General features: G+C 41.5%; 1 protein-coding gene and 1 pseudogene across 3 annotated transcripts in view; both read right to left on the bottom strand.

Moving 5' to 3' along the window:
* RPL22P14 (ribosomal protein L22 pseudogene 14) lies at positions 5,979-6,422 on the bottom strand (annotated as a pseudogene).
* The window catches only part of CASP8AP2 (caspase 8 associated protein 2), a gene marked incomplete in the record, with an annotated part of 44,557 nt that continues 26,086 nt past the window's right edge, over positions 8,475-26,945 (bottom strand). For all 3 annotated transcript variants that reach the window (NM_012115.4, NM_001137667.2, NM_001137668.2), the window contains 5 exon segments: positions 8,475-9,110; positions 11,523-11,622; positions 13,829-16,958; positions 18,540-20,785; positions 25,712-25,827. In NM_012115.4, the coding sequence (NP_036247.1) occupies positions 9,102-9,110; positions 11,523-11,622; positions 13,829-16,958; positions 18,540-20,785; positions 25,712-25,827 (5,601 nt within the window).

The following is a 26,945-nucleotide window of genomic DNA, read 5'->3' as shown; positions in this document are numbered from 1 at the left end:
TAAGCTTCCATGAGCTGAGCAGGCCTGACATCTGAGAATGGCTACTTTCTTGATTTTTATAAGGCCCTGGAGTGTTAGAATGTATGCTGCCAACCTCCAACAATTTGCTTTTATCTGGCAGGGTCAACAATACATCTTTCACCATCTTGCCTAAGGGCTTCATCAATTTTCCTGTTCTCTGCCATAATCTAGGCCACAGAGGTCTAGATGAGCTTGATAACCCCCAGAATATCATACTGGGTCACTACATTGATAACATAATGCTGATTAGACCTGATGAGCAAGAGAAAAGTACTGTCGATATTTTAGTAAGAAGACAAATGCAGGCCACAGGGTAGAATACAAGCCCCACAAAAATTAAGGGACCTGCCACTTCAGCAAAGTTTCTAGAGATCCAGTCCTCCCCAAGTGAAAGTAGTTTCTATCCCTTGCACTATAACTACCACTACCACCAACACCATACAAAAAAAAAGGTGCAATGCTTGATAAGCCTTTGTGAATTATGGAAGTCATTTGATATGCTACTCTGGTCCATTAAATGAATAACCTGTAAGGCTGTGAGATTTTCCTGGGAAACAGAGAAAGAAAAAACTCTGCAGTAAGTTCAGTCTGCAGTGCAAGAGTGTGCAAAATCCCAGCAAATTAGATGAATTCAAAGAAACTTTAGCTAATAAATATGTGATATGGTTTGGCTGTGTCCCCACCCAAATCTCACCTTGTATTGAAATAATCCCCAGGTGTCCAGGGTGGGGCCGTGTGGAGATAATCGAATCATGGGATGGTTTCCCCCCCATAGTGTTCTTGTGGTAGTTAATAAGTCTCATGAGATCTAATGGTGTTGTAAATGGGAGTACCCCTGCACAAGCTCTCCGGCCTGCCACCATGATTGTGAGGCCTCCCCAGTCATGTGGAACTGTGAGTCCACTAAACCTCTTTTTCTTTATAAATTACCCAGTCTTGGGTATATCTTTATCAGCAGCATGAGAACTGATTAATACAATATGTCACATGGAGGCTCTAGCAAGCCTTAATAAAAGAATCACAGTGCAGAGCTTCAGCATTCTGGAGCATAGCTATGCCCTGTTAGAGACTGAATGCCTGACCATGGTACGTCAAGTGACCAGGTGACCTGAGATATCCAGAATGAACTGGGTATTATCTGATCCATGCCACCATAAGGTTGGGCACACACAGCAGCAATACATCAATAAGTGTAAATGTTATATAAAACATCAGGCTGAAGCAGGTCTGGAAGGTGTATTAGTTGCATAAGCAGATTCCTCTGATACCCAATACTGTACCTGCTTCTTTTCTCACTCAGTCAACACCTAGAGCCTCATATGAAGTTCCTTATGACCGGTTAACTGGGGGGGAGAAAAAATATTTGGGCCTATTTTCCAGATGTTTCTGACTGATGTGCCAGCAAAGGCCAGAAATAGACTGCTGCAATGTTACAATGCCAACCAGGAGATAATGTTGAAGGGAAATTCTCCTGGGAGGTAGAACTTTGAGCAGCATATATGATTGTCTTCTTCAACTGGAGTGGGAAAGGGCCAGACATAGGATGTACATTCAAGGGAAGTGGTTAAAGGTTTGGCTGGATGGTTTAAGACTTGGAAAAAACAAAATGTGACAAGGTCTAAGAAAAAAGTATCGTGAAGGGACTTCTAGGATTAGAGACAAAATGTGAAGATATTTGTGTTTTATGTCAGTGTTCACCAAAGACACCTACTGTAGAAGAGAATCTCAATAGTGAAATGAACAAAATAATACATTCTGGGGATGTCAGTCTGTGTCTTTCCCTTGCAAATCCAGTGCTTGCTCAATGGACCCATAAACAAAATCACCATGGTGGTGAGAAAGAAGGCTATGGGCTCAGCGACATGGATTTCCACTCACCAGAGCTGACCTGGGTGCCTCCATTGTGGAAGGCTTAGCATGTCAAGAACAAAGTCAAAGTTAAGTCCCAATATGGACTAGCCAACTACCTACTAGCAGGTTTCTTACATCAGACTGACCCTATCCATGGAGGGGAATGTAATTTGTTTTCACTGGGAGAGACGTATTCTCCAAGTATGGATTTACCTCCCTGACCTTAATGCTTTTGTCAGCACCACCAAGCACAGCCTAATGGAATACTTATTCGCCATTATGGCATTGTACACATTTTCTGTTCAAGAAACAGATTTCACAGGAGAATAAGCTCAGCAATGGGCTTATGCTCACGTTTTTCACTGATCTTATCATGTAACTTTTCAAGAATTTAAAAAGAGGGAACACATTCCAATTCACTTTACAGAGTCAGCATAACTTGGATACCAAAACCTTACAAGACATTAAGAAAGAAAAAAATGGGCCAGGCACAGTGGCTCACACCTGTAATCCCAGCACTTTGGGAGGCCAAGGTGGGTGGATCATGAGGTCATGAGTTCAAGACTAGCCTCGCCAAGATGGTGAAGCCCTGTCTCTACTAAAAAAATACAAAAATTAGCCGGGTGCGGTAACAGGTGCCTGTAAACCCAGCTACTCAGGAGGCTGAGGCAGGAGAATCGCTTGAACCCAGGGGGCAGAGGTTGCAGCAGTGAGCAAGATCGCGTCGCTGCACTCCAGCCTGGGTGACACAGTGAGACTTCATCTCAAAAAAAAAAAAAAAAAGAAAGAAAGAAATGTAAGCCAATTTCACACACACACACACACACACACACAAACAGAATATCCTAAACAAACAGTATAGTAAACTAAATCCAACAATATATTTAAAAAGGATATAATACATTACTTTAAAGTTGGGTTTATTATTGTGTTGACAAGGAGTTTTAAGAAAAAATGAAATAAAAGTAAAGTTTATTCTGAAACTGCAAGGTTTAATTTTTTTAATGATTTAATTTACCACATTTAATAAAGGAGAAAATAAATAAAGGAGGTACTTTTTTTTTTTTTTTTTTTTGAGATGGAATCTCTCACTCTGTCACCCAGGCTAGAGTGCAGTGGCACAATCTTGGCTCATTGCAACCTCTGCCTCCCAGGTTCAAGCGATTCTCCAGCCTCAGCCTCCCAAGGAGCTGGGATTACAGGTGTATGCCACCACGCCCAGCTAATTTTTGTATTTTTAGTAGAGACAGGGTTTCACCATGTTGGTCAGGCTGGTCTCGAACTCTTGACCTCAAGTGATGCACCCGCCTTGGCCTCCCAAAGTGCTGGGATTACAGGCGTGAGCCATCGCGCCCAGCCTAGAAAGAAACTTTTGTAAGCTGATAAACAGTATACATTTTTTCCTTTTTTTTTCTAAGACGGTCTCACACTCTCTCCCAGGCTGGAGTGCACTGGCAGAATCATGGCTCCCTGGAGCCTTGACTTCCCAAGTCCAAGCAATCCTCCCACTTCAACCTCCTGAGTAGCTGGGACCACAGGAGTGTGCCACCACACTCCGGTGCCACCACCACGTCTGGCTAATTTTTTTTTTTTTTTTTTTTTTTTTTAAGAGACAGATTCCCACTATGTTGCCCAGGCTGGTCTTGAACTCCTGGGTTCAAGTGATCATCCTGCCTAGGCCTCCCAAAGTGCTGGGATTACAGGCATGAGCCAGTGCACCCTGCCAAGCTTTGTGTTCTTGATGTAGAAGCTGGTAAAAAAGTAAAATTAAATAAATGAGTACAGAACAGAAAGCAGGGGCCCAAATATGAACAGCTGTGTTCATAATACTCCACAGTAGCCTAAATGTGGAAACAACCCAAATGTCCACTGAATGGTTAAATAAAAAGTGGTAGGCTGGGCACAGTGGCTCACGCCTGTAATCCCAACACTTTGGGAGGATAGGAGGGGGATTGCTTGAGCTTAGGAGTTCAAGACCAGCCTGAGCAACACTGCAAAACCTTCTCTCTACAAAATACACAAAAATTAGCTGGGTATGGTGGTGTGCGCCTGCAGTCCCAGCTTCTTGGGAGGCTGAGGTGAAAGGACCACTTGAACCCAAGAGGTCGAGGCTGCAGTGACCAGTGACTGCACAATTGCACTCTAGCCTGGGCAACAAAGTGAGACCTTGTCTCAAAAAAAAAAAAAAAAAAAAAGTAAATAAATAAATAATAAAATAAAATAGGCCAGACATAGTGGCTCATGCCTATAATCTCAGCACTTTGGGAGGCCAAGGTGGGTGGATCATTTGAGGCCAGGAGTTTGAGACCAGCCTGGCCAACATGGTGAAACACTGTCTCTACTAAAAATACAAAAAAAAGTCTGAATGTGGTGGCTCATGCCTGCCTGTAATCCCAGCACTTTGGGAGTCCGAGGTGGGAGGATCACCTGAGGTCTGAAGTTTGAGACCAGCCTGGCTAACATGGAGAAACCCCGTCTCTGCTAAAAATACAAAAAAATTAGCCAGGTATGGTGGCGGGTGCCTGTAATCCCAGCTACTTGGGAGGCTGAGGCAGGAGAATTTGTTGAACCTGGGAGGTGGAGTTTGCAGTGAGCCAAGATCACGCCACTGCACTCCAGCCTGGGCAACAAGAGCTAAAGTCCATCTCAAGCAATTCACCTGCCTCAGCCTCCCAAGTAGCTGGGACTACAGGCGCCTGCCACCACACCCGGCTAATTTTTTGTTTTTGTATTTTTAGTAGAGACAGGGTTTCACCGTGTTAGCCAGGATGGTCTCGATCTCCTGACCTCGTGATCTGCCCGCCTCGGCCTCCCAAAGTGCTGGGATTACAGGCATGAGTCACTGCGCCCAGCCAATGGCATTATTTCTAACAGTTCTGAACTAGAACACAAATGTCTATGACAGTAGGATAGATAAATTGTGGTTCAATTGAAATACATACAGTAGTGAGAAAGAATTTAGTATTGCTATACTCAACACAGGCATGAACCTCACATATTGCTTAATGAAATAAGCCAAATAGTATCTACAGTTATAATTCCATTTGAAAGTTCAAAGACAAGCAAAACTAATCTATGATAATATAAATCAGAGACAGTGTTCTGATAATGTTTGTCCCTAGGGAGAAGGAAGGACTATTACTAGGAATGGGGGGCACTCTGGAGGGCTGGTAATGTTCTAATTCTTGATCTGGGTGCTGTTACACAAGTGTTTACTTTGTGAAAACTATTTCTTTCATGCACTTTTCTACGTGAATGCCATACCTCAATTTTAAGTGTGGCATTTTTATGTCTATACCTTCTTCCTAACAAGGCAAGAACTGTAACATTTGTATACTTCCTTGATCTCCTCTACTCGCCATTATGTTGATACTGTCTAAAATTATAATTCTGGTTTATTGCTTTCTAAAAAAATCTTTCTCCCCCTATACACATCTTACCAAGGTATCTGAACACTGTTATCCCCACAGATTTTGTAGTATCTTCTGGACTTTTTGAGTATTTTTTCCAAAATTTTCAATGCGAATCATTGGCAAATCTTTTTTTTTTTTTTTTCTTGAGACGGAGTCTTGCTCTGTCACCAGGCTGGAGTGCAGTGGCCCTATCTCGGCTCACCGCAACCTCTGCCTCCAGGGTTCACGTGATTCTCTTGCCTCAGCCTCCTGAGTAGCTGGGATTACAGGCGTGCACCACCACACCCAGCTAATTTTTGTATTTTTAGTAGAGATGGGGTTTCACCATGTCGGCCAGGATGGTCTTGATCTCTTGACCTAGTGATCCGCCCACCTCAGCCTCCCAAAGAACTGGGATTACAGGCGTGAGCCACCCCACACGGCCCAGCAAATCTTTTTTTCATTTTTTAAAAAAATTTTTCAGTACCTTTAGAGGTACAAGTGGTTTTCAGTTACATGGATGAACTGCACAGTGCTGAAGTCTAGTATTCTAGTGCACCAGTCACCCAAGTCGCAAACATTGTATTCAATATGTAGTTTTTCATCCCTTCCCTGTTCCACCTTCTGAGTCTCCAATCTCTGTTATACCACTCTGTATGCCTTTGCATACCCATTTATAAGCGAGAACATGTGGTATCTGGTTTTTTTTTCCTCTGGTTCCCAAGTTTTATTCACAAACTCATACAAAATATTCCAGATAAATGAATTTTAATCCTCATCTTCCTCCTATTTGTCCTGGCTAATTTGGAAGTAACGTAATTCATAACTTTCTTCGCTGTTAGCAACTACGTGCAACCAATCACACAGATTATTCTTCTTCAAAATTTTTTTGTGAGATATTTCAAATACCTTTAGGAAAAAGTCACCTCAGAAGTCATGGTGATCTTGCTCTTGGTCCTCCACCTAGATTCCCAGCTTTTCCATTCACTTTGATCCCCTCTTGCAAAAACTGCTCAAAATTAGCAGCATCCATGATTCCATCTTCTACAGTGGGTGCAATTAAGAGTAAACTTCAGAAACCTGCTTCTTTTTTGTTTTCTGCCCTGCTTTGCCACAAGCTTTTTCATGAGTGCCATGGTGGCAGTGGAAGCAGAAAGGGGTATCTGGGTTTTTTTGTGTTTGCTTTTTGATACGGAGTCTCGCTTTGTTGCCCAGGCTGGAGTGCAATGGCACAGTCTTGGCTCACTGCAACCTCCGCCTTCCAGGTTCAAGTAATTCTCCCTGCCTCAGCCACCTGAGTAGCTGGGATGACAGGCGCCCGCCACCACACCCGGCTAATTTTTGTATTTTCAGTAGAGACAGCGTTTTGCCACGTTGGCCAGGCTGGTCTCAAACTCCTGACCTCAGGTGATCTGCCCGCCTCACCCTCCCAAATTGCTGGGATTACAGGCGTGAGCCACCACACCTGAATGTTATCTGGTTTTCAATTCCTGAGTTACTTCACTTAGAACAGCCTCCAGTTCAATACAAGTTGCTGCAAAAGACATTATTCTTTTTGTGCAGCTGAGTAGCACTCCATGATATATGTATACCACATTCTCTATCCACTCATCAATTTATGGACACTTAGGTTCATTCTATGTCTTTGCAACTGTGAATTGTGCTGCAATAAACGTGTGTGTCTTTCTGATAAAGTGACTTCTTTTCCTTTGGATAGAGATCTTTGGTAAATCTTAATGTTTTTATTAATTCCTCACATGTGAATGACAAATTTAGATAGACTAAAACTTTAAGTCCGGTACTTTAAATATGACATTATTTTCCTGCACCCAGTATTGCACTTGAGAAGACTGAAGTCAATCTTATTCTTGTTCCTTTATACATTTACTCTAAAAGCTTTTAGATTTTTCTCGTTACCTTGATACTCTTCAATTTCAGTATGTCTCTCATTTGGCACCCTATGGCCCTTTCAATCTCTATTTTTTTCCTCCTTCTAGGCCTCTTACCTGAATGTTGGCACACCTACTTCTGGCTTCCATCTTGCTTAAATCCGCTTTCATATTTCCTGTATTCTTTTTCTTGCTTCCTTCTGGTGGTTTCTCAGCCTGATTTTCCAACTAGTTTATTCTGCACCTGTATCTACCCTTTTTTTTTTTTGAGTCTCGCTCTGTTACCCAGGCTGGAGCACAGTGGTGTGATCTTGGCTCACTGCAACCTCCACCTCCCGGGTTCAATTCTCTGCCTCAGCCTCCCGGGTAGCTAGGAATACAGGCACCCACCACCATGCCCAGCTAATTTTGGTATTTTTAGTAGAGACAGGGTTACACCATCTTGCAGGCTTGGTCTTGAACTCCTGACCTCATGATCCACCTGCCTCGGCCTCCCAAAGTGCTGGGATTACAGGCATGAGCCACCACACCTGGCCTCTATCCTTTTACTCCATTTATTATGTTATTTACTTTAAATGTTTCATTATTTCCTGTATCACGTTGCTAACATCTTTTAATGTTTATTAGTTTCATTTTAGATTCTGAAAGTCTTATGTAATCCAGTTTTCTTTTGAACCAGTAGTATCTTTCGGTTATCATATTGTTTGTGAACTCACTTACCTGGTGGTATGAGATCTTCTGAGTGAGAGTATGCACTGCAGAAGGACTGATGGCCAACCCTCTAGTTGGTATTAAGGGTTCAAAGAGAGGGAAGGGGACAAGCCCCATGTTGGAGAGCCCTAGCACTACAAAACCACTGCTATTTATTTCAATGTGTAATCTTTTAGGACAGGGCTTCTTCCTTTGGACACCCTGAGAAAAATGGCAATGAGAAGAGGCACTTCCTAGAGTCTAGGGCCTAGATTATTAACTGAGAAGTTCTGTGAGTCTGAAGGCTGAAGGGTGAAGAAGTAATGCCCAAGCTAATCAATCCTTACACCTGTTTTCTCCAAAGCTTCACCCAAAAAGCTCTTGTGCTACTCTAATTTTATCTGTGAGGACACCTGCAGCAGAGATATGGTTCACCGTTCTAGTACTTGCTGTGAGAAGGCAGGCAACAGCAATCAGTTTTCTCAATCTACTCAGAACCATTCAGCCAGCCACACCCCAACCAGGAACCACTTCAAAATTGCACCCTACGTCCCCTAGGACTTTTACCTCTTTTGATTTTTTAAATTATTACCTAAACACAATAAAAGTAAAAGAAACATTCGAATCAAAATACAACAAAACTTTACATGGTTTTATTATACATTACTGTTATTGAAAGCAAACTTTATACAAAAAGTTTTATACAGATAAAAAAAATCCTTGGCTAGGCAAAGCCGTTTATGTGTGTGCATATACAGAAACACACATACATACATATACACACGGTATTTTACATCATAATTATACATATTTATAAATACATTATTTAAATTATTTTACAATATACCAAAACAAGGAGGCAATTATAAAAGCAAATAAAAAATGGATGAACAATTGAACTAAATAGTCACTAAGTTTAAAATGCTACAAAACTATTTTTTTAATCTAGAAAGTCATTTCTTTAAAATATCAAAACTAAGATTTCAATACATCACTGTTGCTTTCATTTTGGTAAGTTCTAACATGTTTAAAAATAAATATTTTGACCAAAAACAGATAAGCAAATCAGAATGATGACTAGCACAAGCTGAACATGCTGATGTGAAATTAGAGAGTCACTGAGTAATAACAAATATAGATTATCATCTGGTAACCAAAAAGGTGATAAACCTCCCTCTAGTGCTCATTTAAAACATGAGGAATTTGAAGCTTCTGTGTAGTATGCAATATCAGTTAAGAGTCCCAGGAATTCAGCAACTTATCTGTAATGTAAGAAAATGCTAAAGTTATTATTCTATTTTTCTGATAGGACTATCTCATAATGTGTTATCTTAAATGAGCTCCATTTAGACGATATTGGTGTTTAATAAACTAGCTTTCTCATCTTCCAATTGGTCTCAAAATTTAAAAAAAAACCTAGCTTTTGCAATCAGTTTGGTAACTATCATTATACTTGATATTGACAAAAATTTAATAGGACTACAGTACTTGTGGGGAAAAAAAATCAGTTAAGAGGCAAGCTACGAATGAAATAACCCACAATATGTGCTATCCTGCAAGCAAAGAAATCTCAAATATCAAATTCATTAAATGGTTTTAGATTTTTGGCCAGGTGCAGTAGCTTACGCCTGTAATCTGAGCACTTTGGGAGGCCAAGGCAGATGGATCGCTTGAATCCAGGAGTTCGAGACCAGCCTGGGCAACACAGCGAAACCCCATCTCTGTTTAAAAGAATTTACATTCTCTTCACAAGAGAACGGAAATCATACTTTAATATAACATTAAGGTAAAAAAAAGAAACGATTTAATTTCTTAAAGGCAGCAAAAATCTTAAAAAGCACAGTTAATCTAATAAATAATCAAGCCACTTTTGCCCAGAGCTTTTTAAAAAAAAGTTCTTTAGAATAAGCTTCTTCTCCAAATTCCCCATTATTCAAGCTTACAGTATTCTGTTGTGTTTTGTTCAAGTGATTCTCCTGCCTCAGGCTCCCAAGTAGCTGGGATTACAGGCACGTTCCACCATACCCAGCTAATTTTTGTAATTTTGGTAGAAATGAAGTATCATCATGTTGGCTGGGCTGGTCTCGAACTCCTGAACTCAGGTGACCTGCCCACCTTAGCCTCCCAAAGTGCTCGGATTACAGGCATGAGCCACTGCACCCGGCAACATTCTGAATTATATAAGTAGAAATTTAACGTCATAATCACTTGAACCCGAGAGGCAGAAGTTGCAGTGAGCTGCGATCATGCGGCTGCACTCCAGCCCGGGCGACAGAGTGAGACTCCGTCTCAGAACAAACAAAAGAAATTTAACATCATAGTAAACTACTACACATATTTTGAAGATTTCACTAGCACTGCGCTCTATGTCCAAATCAAGTTTTTGTTTTTTTTTTCTTTTCTTTCTGAGAGGCAGAGTCTCACTCTTTCAGGCTGGAGTGTAGTGGCGCAATCTTGGCTCACCGCAACCTCCACCTCCCAGGTTCAAGCGATTCTCATGCCTCAGTCTCCCAAGTAGCTGGGATTACAGACACGTGCCACCATGCCTAGCTAATTTTTGTATTTTTTGTAGAGATGGGGTTTCACCATGTTGGCCAGGCTGGTATAGAACTCCTGGCCTCAAATGATCTGCCCACCTCGGCCTCCCAAAGTGCTGGGATTACAGGTGTGCCACTGTGCCCGGCTAATTTTTTGTATTTTTAGTAGAGACGGGGTTTCACCATGTTAGCCAGGATGGTCTCAATCTCCTGACCTTGTGATCTGCCCTCCTCGGCCTCCCAAAGTGCTGGGATTACAGGCGTGAGCCATCGCGCCTGGCCTGACTCCATCTCTTAAAACATTTTTTTCACGCCTGTAATCCCAGCACTTTGGGAGGCCGAGGTGAGCAGATCACATGAGACCCAGAGTTCAAGACCAGCCTGGCCAACACAGCAAAACTCCGCCTCTCTAGTAATCTACTAAACATACAAAAAATTAGCTGGGTGTGGTGGCACACACCTGTAATCCCAGATACTCGGGTGGCTTAAGCACAAGAATCACTTGAACCCAGGAGGTGGCGGCTGCAGTGAGCCAAGATCACGCCATTGCACTCCAGTAAGGTCAACAAAGCAAGACTCTGTTTCCAAAAAAAAAAGACTGAATGAAACTAACTTTAATTCAAAAAGAAAAAAAATTCAATCTAAACATTTATTTATTTACTTTTGTCTGAAACAGGGTCTCACTCTGTCTCAAGCTGGTGTGCAGTTGCATGATCACAGCTCACTGTAGCCTCAACCTCCTGGGCTCAAGTGATCAATTTGCCTCAGCCTCCCGAGTAGCTGGGACTACAGGTGCATGTCACCATGTCCTGCTATTTTTTTTGTTTTTTGTAGAGACATGGTCTCACTATATTGGCCAGGGTGGCCTTGATCTCCTGGGCTCAAGCGATCCTCCCTCCTCAGCCTTCCGAGCTGAGACCACAGGTGCACACGACAGCACCCACTAATTTTTTAAAATTTTTCTGTAGAGGCAGAAGTCTTACCTTGTTGCCCGGATGGTCTCGAACTCCTGGCTTCAAGGGATCCTCCCACCTTGGCTGTGCTGGGATTATAGCTGTGAGTTACCACACCTAGCCTAAATCTTAAGTATTTAGAGTAGCAACATCTGTGAACCAATAGAGATGTAAAAATTGGGTAGTTACCTGATTTGGATTTTTATCCAACTTGGCGGCTAAATATGCAAATGTTTTAAATGATGGCCCTCTTTTCTGACACTCCAATAAAATTTCCCGGTCATCATTTCTGAGGAGGAAAAAATTGTATTTAGTTTTAGTACACTGTATTAGAAAGGTAATAAAAATCCCACTGCCTTGAAGTCCACCAACCAGGGAAATTTAAACCCATAGGAAAAAGGAAAAGTGTATATACCAAAATATGGACAATGGGTGTCTCTGAGAAATAAGATTTAGATGATTTTGTTCTGAGTTCATATGTATTCTATAACAAATCTACTGATTTTCTTAATGACAAAATTAAAGTATTTCTTTTTAATTCTACCTTTAATGTATACACTAAAAAACTTAGGGCCCAAAGATGGTCACAGACATAATAAGCAGAAGAACCAGAACTAAAATAGAATCCTATCTTCTAATTCCCAGACCTCTGCTTTTTCTACATACTCTGACCAAATGGGTATTAATACAATTGCTGAGATATTATACTGCCATCTGCAAAGTTACCTGCAATGGGGATTTGAGGACTGTGGAATTAACAAAACTGATCACCAGTTTTCACAAAACTCAGCTTCTCTCATTCAGCATTCTAGTCAAGTATATCTACCTCTAGTCCAATGATTCATAACTGGTTACTTTTACATCTGAATGGGGTCTTGATTTTCTTAAACAGTTCATATAAAACTCAAAAGTGTACAGGCACAGCATCTCATGCCTGTAATCCAGTACTTCCTACCTACAATCCAGCCTGACCAACACGGAGAAACCCTGTCTCTACTAAAAATACAAAATTAGCTGGGTGTGCCCTTGTAATTCCAGCTACTCGGGAGGCTGAGGCAGGAGAATCACTTGAACCCGGGAGGCAGAGGTTGCAGTGAGCCAAGATGGTACCATTGCACTCGAGTCTGGGCAACAAGAGTGAAACTCAAACAAACAAACAAACAAACAAACAAACAAAAACCCTCAAAAGTACAACCGGTTTACAAAACTGTAAACTTCTAATCTGGAGGAAAAATCAAACTATTAGGTTGCTGCAAAAGTAATTGTGGTTTTGCAGCACCAACCTATACCAACACTCGATTTTTTGCTGTGTTTCATCACTTGTCATTCCTTCTAAGATGTGCTTACAGCAGTTCCTTCCAAATGAAGTAAGTTTTTAATTTAAACAGTGAAGTTAAAACACACTTTTTCCCTTCACTTTTTAACTTTTTTTCACTTCACTTTTCTTTTTTTAACTTCACAATAGAGCTTTTCGAAGTGAAAAGCTATATCCATGGTATTACTGCACACCTCTGGTTAAGAGCCACTGTTCTAGATTGTACAACAGTACAGCAGGTCTGTACTCTAGAATGTATCTTCAACTACCTTTGGCCACTTTTGAAGTCCTCATTTTCCTTATTTTAGGATGATAAAGCTATGAAGACATGACAGATTAGATATCTTTAGGTTTTCTTTTCTTTTTTTCCAGAGGGAGTCTCGCACTGTCACCCAGGCTGGAGGGCAGTGGCGTGATCTCAGCTCACTGCAAGCTCCGCCTCCCAGGTTCACGGCCATTCTCCTGCCTCAGCCTTCTGAGTAGCTGGGACTACAGGTGCCTGCCACCATGCCTGGCTAGGTAACTTTAGGTTTTTTTTTTTTTTTTTGAGACAGAGTTTTGCTCTGTCACCCAGGCTGGAGTACAACCTTCGCCTCCCAGGCTCAAGTGATCCTCCTGCCTCAGCCTCCCAAGTAGCTGGGACCACAGGCCTGCACCACCACGCCTGGCTAATTTTTGTATTTTTTTTCTTTTTTTTTTTTAAGACAGTCTCGCTCTGTTGCCCAGGCTAGAATGCAGTGGCGCCATCTCGGCTCACTGCAAGCTCTGCCCCCCGGGTTCATGCCATTCTCCTGCCTCAGCCTCCCAACTAGCTGGAACTGCAGGTGCATGCCACCACGTCTGGCTAAGTTTTGTATTTTTGGTAGAGATTGGGTTTCACCATGTTAGCCAGGATGGTCTCAATCTCCTGACCTCATGATCCGCCCGCTTCAGCCTCCCAAAGTGCTGGGATTACAGGCGTGAGCCACTGCGCCCGGCCCTAATTTTTGTATTTTTTTGTAGAGACAGAATTTCGCCATGTTGCTCAAGCTGGTCCCAAACTCCTGGGCTCAAGTGATCCACCTGCCTCAGCGTCCCAAAGTATTGGGATTACAGGCATGAGCCACTGCGCCCAGCCAGACAGATTAGATTTCTGAGTGCAAAATTTCCTGGTGATTTCAATGTCTCACAAGATTCTTACCTTGTCCATAAAATGATAATTTCTCCCTTCTTTTTAATAACATTTTTTGCAGAAAGACTTGTAGAAGTGGCAAGTGCTGCTGATGAATCCTTAATCCCTGGGGTTGCCTTTAATGATGAGGGATCTTTAGTCACAGGAGGGGCCTTCTTCTTACTGGCTTTCTTTTGGTGAGCTTCAGTATTCTCACAAGAATCTTGGGTAGGTTTCTTGGTCTTTTCCTTATTAGTTAAGTCTGTTTCCTTTCTTTGTTTTTTATGAGGATGATTTAGATCAGAAATGTTTCTTCTCTTTTTGTGAGAATTATGCAAAGTCCCAGGCAACTCCGAGTTATCACAATTTGATCCTGGCTCTGATTTTAACTCATCTTTTTTTACTTCACATGAACTGGGAGATTCTGTGGTCAAGTCGATATAGGTTTCCTCAACAATGCATTTTAAAGGCCTGTTTGCCACTTGTGCCTTTTCTTCCTTACAATTATCTTCATCTACCTGTATCACCCCACATCCCAAGTCTTCCACAGCTAATGCAGGATGATTACCTTCACTTTTAGCCTCACTTGAAGCATCTTGTGTCAAATCAATAAAAGCACCTACAGTATCAGCCTGCAAAGAATTGTCTAATATTTGAGCACTCTGATTTAAATTGCCTCCAGAACATCCCAACTGATCAATATGTAAAACTGTTACTTCTATGAATTCCCCCAAGTTTTTGGTTTCAGTGACTGGATCTTTCGTTAGATCTACGTATGTGTTTGGAAGATGTTCCCCAACAGAGTGTGAGATTTCTTCCATTGAAGGCAATTCTTCAATGCTTTCAGGCACTTTTGTTTCCCATACTTGATGCAATTTGAAACATTCATCAGCCACTTCATCACTATGACCCATCTTATCTGAAGCATCTTTAAGAAATTCATATATATCAGGAACCTGTGTTTGTATCATAGAGCTCTGTTCTTCATGAGTTGACTTGCTGCCATCAACATTTTTGTTGGAGTTTTCCAATTCCTCCACAGATTTAAAAACTGTGTTCTGACATGAAATATATTCTTTCTCTGGTCCTTCATCAGCTTCCTTTCCATGTCTGGGCAAAGATGTCAATAATTCATCAGGCATCATACTCTGTTTAAGGCCAGAAGAGGTAGATGGTGTTGCACGTCGTATTTTCACAATGAAATGATCATTGGACTTTTCCATTATGACGGCATGCATAGGTAGATTAGGGTGGTACTGAAAGCCTGGAGCAACAGATCGGCTTGTCCAGGAAGAAGAACAACTTGATTTACTGCTTGAATTATCAGACTCCAGAGCTAAATGAATATCTTGCTCAGATGCATCCTCTTCCTCAAGTAAGGCATCTTCACTAAAATGAGCACTAATGACTTCTTCAGGAGTTGAACTGGACGACATATCAGGCTTTAAAAAACTGAGATGACCATCTGACTTCAGAGGCGATGGTACTGTTAAAGAGACTGCTAGATCTTCAAGAAGTATGGAAGAAACGCAGGGCTTGCTCTTTTCTACACTACACACATTATCTTTACTTAAAGGTAGGTTAGTAGACACTTCAAACATACAACTTTCATCCAACACATCAGGATGAACCGGCAATGAAAGCCCTGAAGACAGAGATGGACCTTTTTCAGATGATAATAATGACCAATTATCATCACTAATCATTTTAGGACATGGAGAAGCCACCCCTGAAACTAGCTCTTCTGTTGTACAAGCTGGTATAGACTCGCACTTAAGAGTCTCTAGCAGCTGCTTCTCTGGAGTCTTTAACTCCCACTCACTTTTTTCAGTACAGTTAACACTGCTGTCTAAAAGATCAGAACCTTGCAACAAACTTTTAAATATTTCACCCATTTGTGCATCACTCACTAAATTAAAAGTAAGGCTCGATGCTTGCTGTTCGGTAAGAATCTCGAAACTTCGTTCTGGCTTCAAAGTTGCATGCTGGGATGTCTGTGCATCCTCTATGCTGCTTCCTTCGTTTTTTTCTGACTTTGGGGTGCTTGGACAGTGTACTTCCAAGGAGCGCTCTTCGGATTGAGAGTTCTTTATATTATCAAAGCAGATGTTAAAATTTTTTTTAATGTCATGCTTTACAGTGTTAATACTGGAGTTATTTTGGTCTTGATAATTTTCCTCAGATTTTTTACATCCCACTAAAGACTTATAATGAACAGGGTCTTCTGATTTTGATAATTTTTCTTTCAGCAATTCTCTGTTGGAGTTGTCCACACTCCTTTTCTGACTATTTGAATACTGTGCATTCTGTTTACTTGTTTTTTCAAGTTTGCCTTCATCACTATCTCTTCCAAAGCTTTTGGAATCACATACTAAGATTTTCTTAAGCTTTGCAAACAAATAATCAAGTTGGTCATCTACAAACTTCCACAATTTTTTTTTCATATCTGGTAGTTGCTGTTCAAATAAACGATCAACTATGCCATTCTTTTTAACTTGCTTAAGTTTAGACTCTATAATATCACAGAGATTCTTCTGTAAGGTAGTCACTGACTTAGAGATTTTGTGTAAGTTGAGATGTTTAATTAAAGATGTAAAACTCAAAATTGCTGACTCAATAATTCTGTGAAATTGTATTAATGAAAATTTTGCCTTGAATTTCATATAATTTTTTCTTACATGTTTTCTTATCATTCGTAACATGTGCATGATCTCTTGTTCAGAAGAGGGTACAGCAATAATTGGAACTATTTTTTCCAAGCTGGAAGTGCTCATCACTTTATCTTTCTTCTCTGTTTTTGAAGATCTGCTAGATTTATCAGGTCTTTTATTCCATTTGTTATTGGTCTGATGGATTCTTACATGTGTTTTCCTACTGTCTTTATCTAAACACACAGTACTTTTCCCACGTCGTGGGATAGTCTTTGACTTCCGCACATCAGCTGACACTCTACGTTTGGAATTTTTTTCAAAACTTTCTTGTGGTTTAGATGTTTCACTATCACTTCTAATTTCTCCTTCTTCTAATTCATCTAATGGTGAATTCTTACATGTGTCTGCTTCTGTACATTTGTCAGATTTGTAAATTGGCTTTTGATTTTCCTTATTGAGATCAGACTGACTCTTAGAGGTAGAATGAGCTGAATTTGGTAAAAACACATCTGTAGAAGAGAAAAATATATTAAACACATTTATAGAAGATAAAAGTATATTAAAGTTTAGTTATTTGACATGTCCATATTAAATATTACATATAACAAAAAATTAAATACTGAGGCAATTCACTGTTTGTTTTTTTTGTTTTTTGAGATGGAGTCTCGCTCTGTCGCCCAGGCTGGAGTGCAGTGGTGCAACCTTGGCTCACTGCAAGCTCCGCCTCGTGGGTTCATGCCATTCTCCTGTCTCAGCCTCGCGAGTATCTGAGACTACAGGTGCCCGCCACCACGTCTGACTAATTTTTTTGTATTTTTAGTAGAGACGGGGTTTCACCGTGTTAGCCAGGATGGTCTCGATCTCCTGACCTCGTGATCTGCCCGCCTTGGCCTCCCAAAGTGCTGGGATTACAGGCGTGAGCCACTGCGCCCAGCCGGCAATTCACTGTTTTACTAGTTCTTTTTGAAGCAGAATGTTAATGCCTAATACTTGTATTATTGATTTTTTTTTTGAGAACGAAGTCTTGCTATGACACTCAGGATGGAATGCAGTGGCGCAATCTTGGCTCACTGCAACCTCTACCTCCCGGGTTCAAGCCAATTCTCCTGCCTCAGCCTCCTGAGTAGCTGGGACTACAGGCGACTGCTCCCACGCCCAGCTAATTTTTGTATTTTTTAGTAGAGATAGGGTTTCACCACACTGGCCAGGCTGGTCTCGAACTCCTGACTTCATGATCTACCTGCCTCAGCCTCCCTAAGTGCTAGGATTACAGGTGTGAGCCACCATGCCCCGCCTGTATCATTGGTTTTTATTGACCTTAAAAAGTGCTTGGGGCCAGGTGTGGTGGCTCACGCCTGTAATCCCAGCACTTTGGGAGGCTGAGGAGGGCTGATCACGAGGTCAAGAGATCCAGACCAACCTGACCAACATGGTGAAACCCCATCTCTACTAACACAAAAATGAGCATAGTGGCAGGTGCCTGCAATCCCAGCTACTTGGGAGGCTGAGGCAGGAGAATCGCTTGGGCCTGGGAGGCGGAGGTTGCAGTGAGCTGAGATCGCACCACTGCACTCTAGCCTGGCGACAGAGTGACTCTCTCTCAAAAAAAAAAAAAAAAAAAAGAAACAAAAAAACAACTATGGCTGGGTGCAGTGGCTCACGCCTATAGTCCCAACACTTTGGGAGGCCGAGACGGGCGGATCACGAGGTCAGGAGTTCAAGACCAGCCTGCCCAATATGGTGAAACCCTGACTCTACTAAAAAAAATACAAAAATTAGCTGGGAGTGGTGGCACGCGCCTGTAGTCCCAGCTACTTGGGAGGCTGAGGCAGGAGAATTGCTTGAACTCAGGAGGCAGAGGTTGCAGTGAGCCAAGATTGTGCACACTGCACTCCAGCCTGGGGGACAGAGTGAGACTTCATCTAAAAAAAACCAAAAAACAAAAAAACCCTCCATGTGCACTTCTAGATAACAGGGGCTGAGTAATATGCTACTTTTTATGTTATCAAAAAAGAAAAAGCACCAATTCATCTTATGTATTTTACATTCTCATAAAATGCAAAGTTATAGAAGATAATACAAACTATTACCTTTATGACTGTTATTATACACTGGAACTTGAGGTGGGCTTTCATTTCTAAGAACTTTTGCTACAGGTCTCACTGGACTATTCAGAGGACTGATGGCTTCTGGAATAGGTCTCAGGTGATTAAGGTCAATGCTCAAAACCGAGTTATCATCATCATGATATACTGAGTTTGTTTCACCAGTTGCCATTCTGTGGTCCATTAACTCAGTCTGCTGAAGTGAAGAATCTAGAGTCTCTTTAGGTAAGCAAGGCTCCAGATGACACGACTTACTCTCAACCAGTGGTGTAACTATAACAGAAGGCTCAAATTTTGGGTTATTATCTTCTGAAAGCATTATTGGCAAAATATCAGCTTCCTCAATTGAAGGCTGCAAAATGCTTTCAGTGGTTTCACTCACTGTTGTTGAAAGTGCCACCTTCATCTCCATACCTTCAGAAATACCACAATAATCTGAATTATCATTTCTTTTGGTATCCAATTCCAAGCCAAAGTTTTGAGACACATCTGTTTGTAATACATCCATTACCACAGGAGCTGCTGCCCTTCCATTATTAATGGTTTGTTTCATTCCTGTTGATGGAAACAAGGATTCTGTCTGTTGTATTTCCATAGGAGATGGGAAGGAAGTCTCTGTACCACAAATGGGCTCTTCACAATGCATAGTATTGTCAACAGACCTAACTAACAAACTATTTTCGTCTTCCTTGTTGGTTTCTGAGATACCGATCCTGGGTTCAGTCACTGCTAGAAGAGCAACCTTTGGTTCCAATAACGTTGACTTGGTTTCCCCCATGGTATGTTCACTGACAGCTGCTTCCCCCAAGATATGTTCACTTATGGAGGGAACATATGCCACTGTTTTAACTTGCATTGAAGACTCTGAATCACATACACCACTGGACTTGGGAATATCAGTTATTTTATGCTGATTATCCTGGGAAACAGGTTGCTTTTTAGCAGGAGAAAGAGTTAAGTTCAATTTTTTCATAAAACTCAATTTTAGGTCCTTGTTTTTTGTTTCATTTGGACCACTCTCAGCTTTCATTGCAAGCTCTTTATTATCTGCTCCTTCAGAAACACCATTATCAAGGACTTCTCCCTTATCAGTCTTTGGTTCATTCTGTTTCTTTAAATCAGTAGTGGTTTTCTTAGTTTCCTTATTAGTCTTCTGCAAATGTTCTGTAGGTACTCTTTTTTCATTTCTAATATGCCTATTTTCTTCTTTGCTTTCTTGTTCTCTTTTCCTCTTATCTTCAGTTCTATGTCTTTCTGCTTTTAAAGGTGTATTTTCCCACTGATGCATGGCATCAACTTCCTTAGAGTCAATGTTTTTGTGAGTTCTACTGTTTGAAAGAGAAGATGGACATCTTCCATCTTGAAAACTATGACTGTTTACACTCTTGTCTCTTTTACAATCTTCCCATCCTCTTCTCTCTTCTAGATGGTATTTACTTGAATTATGAGAAAATGTTATTTCATTCTTGGAATGAGGAAGTGATGCTCGTTCAGATCTTCTCCAGTGATCTTGGTCCTTTACTACTGATTTAGGTTTTTGATCAACTTTTCTTTCTTCTTTGTCTTGTGATTTAACTTCTTTCCTATTTATATTTTGTGATCTTTCACTTTGTCTTTCTAGTTTTTTGTCACTTTGAGAGTCTACTCGACTGTGTGACCTTTCTCCAGGGGTCTCTTTCTCCCAAGAAGAGTTAATGCGTTCACCTTTATAGTCAGAATCTGAGTTACTTTTAAACTTCGAACTTTTGCTTTCAGTCTTTGGTTCACCTTTACCATATTTCTCAGGATGTCCTTGTAGCCTTTGACTAGCCTCCAATATCCTTGGTTCACCATCACCACAGCCAGTACTTAAGTCTTTTCGTACTCTTTCAGTTCCTCTGTTAAACTGGCTATGTCTAATATCTTTTCTTCCTCTTCTACTATCCTCATTTGAGCTACCCTCGCCAACCTGATAATGAGAACGTGACCAAACACCATTAGTGCAGTGTTTCTCAACAGATGTAGGTAAATGTGAAGTACTCCTTTTATCAGAATGTGGTTTTCCTTCCTTTTCCAGATTTGGCAGTGAAGTGCTATGATGTACATCTTTAGAAACATCACTTTTAGCTCTGTGATCAGTCTTTGAACAATCATCCAAATGTGGAGATCTAGATTTAAGATCTTTTGTTTTAACTGTATCAAATGTCCTTGCAGTTTTATGATTATTTCGAAAATGTGGAAACTCAGACAATCTATTATGAAATAAAAAAAAAAGTTAAATTATATTTAGCAATATTCCAAACTTCATTCACATGAGTAATTCATGATTAAGAAATTACCAGCTTTGGCCAGGCATGGTAGCTCATGCCTATAATCCCAGCACTTTGAGAGGCCGAGGCAGGTAGATCACTTGAGGTCAGGAGTTTGAGACCAGCCTGGCCAACATGGCGAAACCCCGTCTCTACCAAAAATACAAAAAAATTAGCCAAGCGTGGTGGCAGGCACCTGTAATCCCAGCTACTTGGGAGCTGAAGCAGGAGAATTGCTTGAACCTGGGAGGTGGAGGTTGCAGTGAGCCGAGACTGCGCCACTGTATTCCAGCCTGGGTGACAGGGCAAGACTCTGTCTCAGCCTCAACCTCCTGGTTGAGAAAGAAATTACCAGCTTTGGCCAGATGTGGTGGCTCATGCCTCTAATATCAGCACTTGAGGAGGACAAGGCGGGAGGATCATTTGTTTGAGCCCAGGAGTTCATGATCAGCCTGGGCAACATGGTGACATCCTGTCTCTAAAAAAATTTTTTGTTTTAATTAGCCAGGCATAGTGGTACATGCCTGTGGTCCTAGCTACTCGGAAGGCTGAGGTGGGAGGATCACTTAAGACCAGGAGGTTGAGGCTGCAATGAGCCATGATTGCGCTATTGCACTCCAGCCTGGGTGACAGAACGAAGTGAGACCCTGTCCCTAAAAAAAAGAAGAAAAAGAAATTACCAGCTTCCAACTAAATTAGCCTGTTTTTAAAACATGAAATTCTCTTTCATGTGCCTTGCTCAAATAAGTTTTGAGGACCTGAGGATCTATCCCAATACTTGCCAATGGCTCTTAGACTTACTTCACTACAGTGCATAACTCCCCAGCTAACCACAAGTTCACTTCTTTTAGAACAAGTGACATTATTTTCTTGCCTTATTCATTCTAGCTCAACTGAAACACAAGGAAAAGTAAAATCTTGCTAAACAACAGACATGAACAAAGTAAAACTCTACATAATTCTCTATCCTAGTTTTCTGTTTCACATACAATCCCACAGCAAGCCAAAGCACCAAAGGCCATCTTAAGATGTTATATACTACGCAAAGTAAAAAGGAATAAAGAGTTGTAATTCTTTCCTAGGAGAATGGTATATATTTACTGTTTAAAACAAACAAAAATCTAAGTCTTAAGGTTTTATATTAGTGTTTAAAAAAACTGGTAGGTTTCCTAGCAATAAAATGTAGATAGCTCAATTTAGCTTTTTTTTTTTTTTTTTTTTTTTTTGAGACAGGGTCTCCCTCTTTCACCCAGGCTGAGTACAGCGGAATGATCATGGCTCACTGCAGCCTTGATGTCCTAGGCTCAAGCAATCCTCTCACTTCAACCTTCCAAGTAGCTGGGACTACAGGTACAAGCCACCATGCCCAGCTAATTTTTAATTTTTCGTAGAGATGGGATCTCACTATGCTGCGCAGGCTGGTCTCAAACTCCTGGACTCAAGCAATTCTCCTGCCTTCGCCTCCCAAAGTACTGGGGTTACAGGCGTGAGCCACTGTGCCTGGCCTATATTGGCTTCTGGTAATAACTTCATCTTCCAGAAATTCCATAATTTCTCTGAAATTTCATATATCTTTTTCTAATCAGTAGCAAATGTGTAGAAAAACCCAAAACTTAAAAAACTCAGAAATATAGGCAGATTGTTATAAGAGAGGATTAGAAAAACACACAACCTAAAACAATATGTAAGCCTCATATGAACCCTGTTATGGATTGTGTCCCCTCTCCTGACCAAATTCATAATTTGAAGTTCTAACCCATTGTTCTTCAGAATATGACCTTATTTAAAGGGTCTTTACAGAAATAATCAAGTTAAAGTGATGTCCTCAAGGTGGGCATGCAATATTACTGGTGTTCTTATAAAAAGGGGGAAATTTGGACACAGAGATACATTTAGAAAGAGGATATAAAGAGACATAGGAAGTAGACAACCATCTAAGAGTACAGAGGCCTGAATCAGATCCTTCCTTCAGAGCTCTCAAAAGAAACTAACTTTGCTGACACTTTCATTTTGGACTTCTAGCCTCCAGGACTGTGAGACAAATTTTGGTTGTTTAGGCCACCCATTTCTGGTAGTTTTGTTACACTAAGCCTAGGAAACTAATATAGATACTGACTCAACCGACCAACTGTTGGTAGATACCTTTGAGATCATTGGGGAAATGTAAACACGAAAAGCACTAACCACAAAAGGAACACCCTTGAAGCTGGGTGCAGTGGCTCATACCTGTAATCCCAGTACTTTGGAGGGCCAGGCGGGCAGATCACTTGAGATCAGGAGTTTGAGACCAGCCTGGCCAAAATGGTGAAACCCCGTCTACTAAAAATACAAAAAAATCTTTTTTTTTTTTTAAATTTTTTTTTACAGGTGGTGCATGCCTGTAATCCCAGCTACTCGGGAGACTGAGGTGGGAGGATCGCTTGAACCCAGCAGGCAAAGGTTGCAATGAGCTGAGATCACACCACTGCACTCCAGCCTGGGCAACAGAGCAAGACTCTGCCAAAAAAAAAAAAAAGTCTGGGCACAGTGGCTCACGCCTGAAATCCCAGCACTTTGGGAGGCCAAGGTGGGTGGCTCACCTGAGGTCAGGAGTTCAAGACCAGCCTGACCAACATGGTGAAACCCCGTGTCTACTAAAAATACAAAAATATTAGCTGGGTGTAGGCTGAGTGCGGTGGCTCATGCCTGTGATCCCAGCACATTGGGAGGCCGAGGTAGGTGGGTCACCTGAGGTCAGCAGTTCGAGACCAGCCTGACCAACATGGTGAAACCCCGTCTCTACTAAAAATACAAAAATTAGCCAGCGTGGTGGCGGGTGCCTGTAATCCCAGCTACTCGGGAGGCTGAGGCAGGAGAACGCTTGAACCTAGGAGGCGGAGGTTGGAGTGAGCCAAGATCACGCCACTGCACTCCAGCCTGGGCAACAGAGCGAGACTCCATCTCAAAAAATAAAAAAATTTTTTTTTAACTAGCCGGGTGTGGTGGCGAGCGCCTGTAATCCCAGCTACTCAGGAGGCAGAATCGCTTGAACCTGGGAGGCGAAGGTTGCGGTGAGGTGAGATTGCACCATTGCACTCCAGCCTGGGCGACAGAGTGAGGCTCTGTCAAAAAAAAAAAAAAAAAAAAAAATGGCCGGGCACAGTGGCTCACGCCTGTAATCCCAGCACTTTGGGAGGCTTGAGGCAGGCGGATCATGAGGTCAAGAGATCAAGACCACCCTGGCCAACATGGTGAAACCCCATCTCTACTAAAAATACAAAAATTAGCCAGGCATGGTGGCGCGTGCCTGTAGTCCCAGCTACTCAGGAGGCTGAGGCAGGAGAATTGCTTAAACCCAGGAGGGGGAGGTTGCAGTGAGCCAAGATCGCGCCACTGCACTCCAGCCTGGCGACAGAGTGAGACTCCATCTTAAAAAAAATAAAAAGTGAGTTAGCAGAAAGAAAGAAAATGAAAACAAGTTTACAAGTTTAGACAACTTTTTCAGAGGTTAGGCTATGAAAATATGAACCTCTCTGGAGCAAAATATTGCCTCCAACCAATAAAAGAGAGAAATTAATGGAGAAAATCCCCTTGAGAAAGAAAAGAATATACAATTGAGAGATAGTATAAGGGCTGTTTATTAATAGGGTATATGAGCACAGATGCCCTCTTGATATTTTAGTAATTTAGTGGGGACCTAGAAGAACCCATGACATATATACCATCATCTCATCAGGGCAAACAGTATTAGAGCAAGAACTCAGTGTTTTAGGAAACTAAATATATTCAGATAAATATGTGGCAATGTTCTATTTTTATTTGCTTCCTTTTTTTTTTTTTTTTGAGATGGAGTCTTGCTGTCACCAAGGATGGAATGCAGTGGTATGATCTCAGCTCACTGCAACCTCTGCGTCATCCCAGGTTCAAGCAATTCTCCTGCCTCAGCCTCCCAAGTAGGTGGAATTACAGGCACCCACCACAGGCACCCACCACCATGCCTGGCTAATATTTTTTTTTTTTTTGAGATGGAGTTTCACTCTTGTTGCCCAGGCTGGAGTGCAATGGCACAATCTCGGCAACCTCTGCCTCCTGGGTTCAAGAGATTCTCCTGCCTCAGCCTCCCGAGTGGCTGTGATGCTGGGTATGCGCCACCATGTCCAGCTAATTTTGTATTTTTTTTTTTTTTTTTTTAGTAGAGATGGGGTTTCACCATGTTGGTCAGGCTGGTCTCGAACTCCTGACCTCAGGTGATCTGCCCGCCTCGGCCTCCCAAAGTGCTAGGATTACAGGCATGAGCCACCATGCCCAGCCAAATTTTTGTATTTTTAGTAGAGACAGGGTTTCACCCTGTTGGCCAGGCTGGTTTCGAACTCTTGAGCTCAAGTGATCTGTCCCCTTCAGCCTCCCAAAGTGCTGGGATTACAGGTACGAGCCACTGCGCCTGGCCACAATGTTCTATTAATAATCACATATGGGCCAAGCATGGTGGCTCACCCTTATAATCCCAACACTTCAGGAGGCAGAGGCAGGAGGATCACTTGAGGCCTTGAGTTCAAGACCAGTGTGGGCTACATAGTGAGACCCTGTCTCCACCAAAAATAAAAAATAAAAAAATTAGGCAGACATGGTGTTGTGCACCTGTTATCTCAGCTACTTGGAAGGCTGAGGAAGGAGGATCTCTTGAGCCCAGGAGGTGGAGGCTGCATTGAGTTATAATTACACCACTGCATTCCAGCCTGGGTGACAAAATGAGACCCTGTCTCTAAAAAAAAAAAAAAATTAAAAAATAAAAAATAAAAATACATTATTTTCATCTTTCCTCTAAAAGTTAAAAATATTCCACATATCAATACCCACGTAATTTATAACAGCTACACCGCTCAGTAATACCTTTGGTGAAGATTACTTATTTCTTCATCCTTGCGGTTTATTTCCACTCTGGCAGTTTTGATAAGTGCTGAAATATTCTTCTTAAGAGACTGGTTTTCGTTTATTAAGCTGAAATTCTAAAACACCACAAACTATATTAATAAAGTACATACCTATAGGGTTACTAATACTACTACATACATTAGCTGATAATTATTGAATGTTAACTACATGCAGGCATCATACATTTATAAGCCCTATGAGGAGTACTATTTATCCCCCTTATACAGGTGGGGAAGCTGAGACTATGAGAAGATAACTGGCACCAGAAATAGTCCCACTTAAAGTGAAACTACTTAAAACAGAGATTGAAATGAAAAACCAATGAACAGCAGAAAAAGTAAGTTCTGCCTGGGTCATGATCTTGAAAATTGAAAATAAAAATGGTAAGAATTAGGTTATAATTTAACAGCTTTGGTTAAACTTGCAAAGATGTATTAGTCCAGTCTGGGCATGGTGGCTCACGCCTGTAATCCCAGCACTTTGGGAGGCCGAGGCAGGTGGATCACCTAAAGTCAGGAGCTCAAGACCAGCCTGGCCAACAGGCCAAAACCCTGTCTCTACTAAAAATACAAAAATTAGCCAGGTGTCATGGTGGGTGCCTGTAATCCCAGCTACTTGGGAGGCTGAGGCAGGAGAACCGCTTGAGCCTGAGAGGCGGAGGTTGCAGTGAGCTGGAGGTTGCAGTAAGCCGAGATCGTGCCACTGCACTCCAGCCTGGCGAAGCGCAAGGCTCCATCAGAAAAAAAAAAAAGATGTATTAGTCCCCAGATAAACAAAGAAAGAATTGAGAGTTCACTGGTTCTTTCAGGGGGAAGAGAAGGAAGAGATACAATTTTACCAAAAAGTAAAAACTAGAACAGGACATGACATTCCTGATTTTTGCAGCACAGTCACAAAATAGGTCATTTTGGCAAAAGCTGTGAAGGCATCAACAGTGTCCCCCAAGAGCCATTTTAAACCCGTATCTTTGCTCCTCAAAACCATTCTTTTAAACCAGTTGTCATCATCTCCACAATTTTCTATTAATTAACTATTAATTGGCCTAAGTCTAACAGACCCTTTATAATCAATGTCATTTAATAAATCAAGCCGTTTTCCTTTATCAGTTTCATCAACTCGGAAAATAATGCATATTTGCCACATTTGCTATTTCATTCAATTTCATCAACTCAGGAAATAATGCATACTTGCC

The sequence above is a fragment of the Homo sapiens genome, chromosome 6, assembly GCF_000001405.40.
Source record: "Homo sapiens chromosome 6, GRCh38.p14 Primary Assembly".
NCBI classification, from domain to species: Eukaryota; Metazoa; Chordata; class Mammalia; order Primates; family Hominidae; genus Homo; species Homo sapiens.
This window is presented reverse-complemented; position numbering and strand designations above follow the sequence as displayed.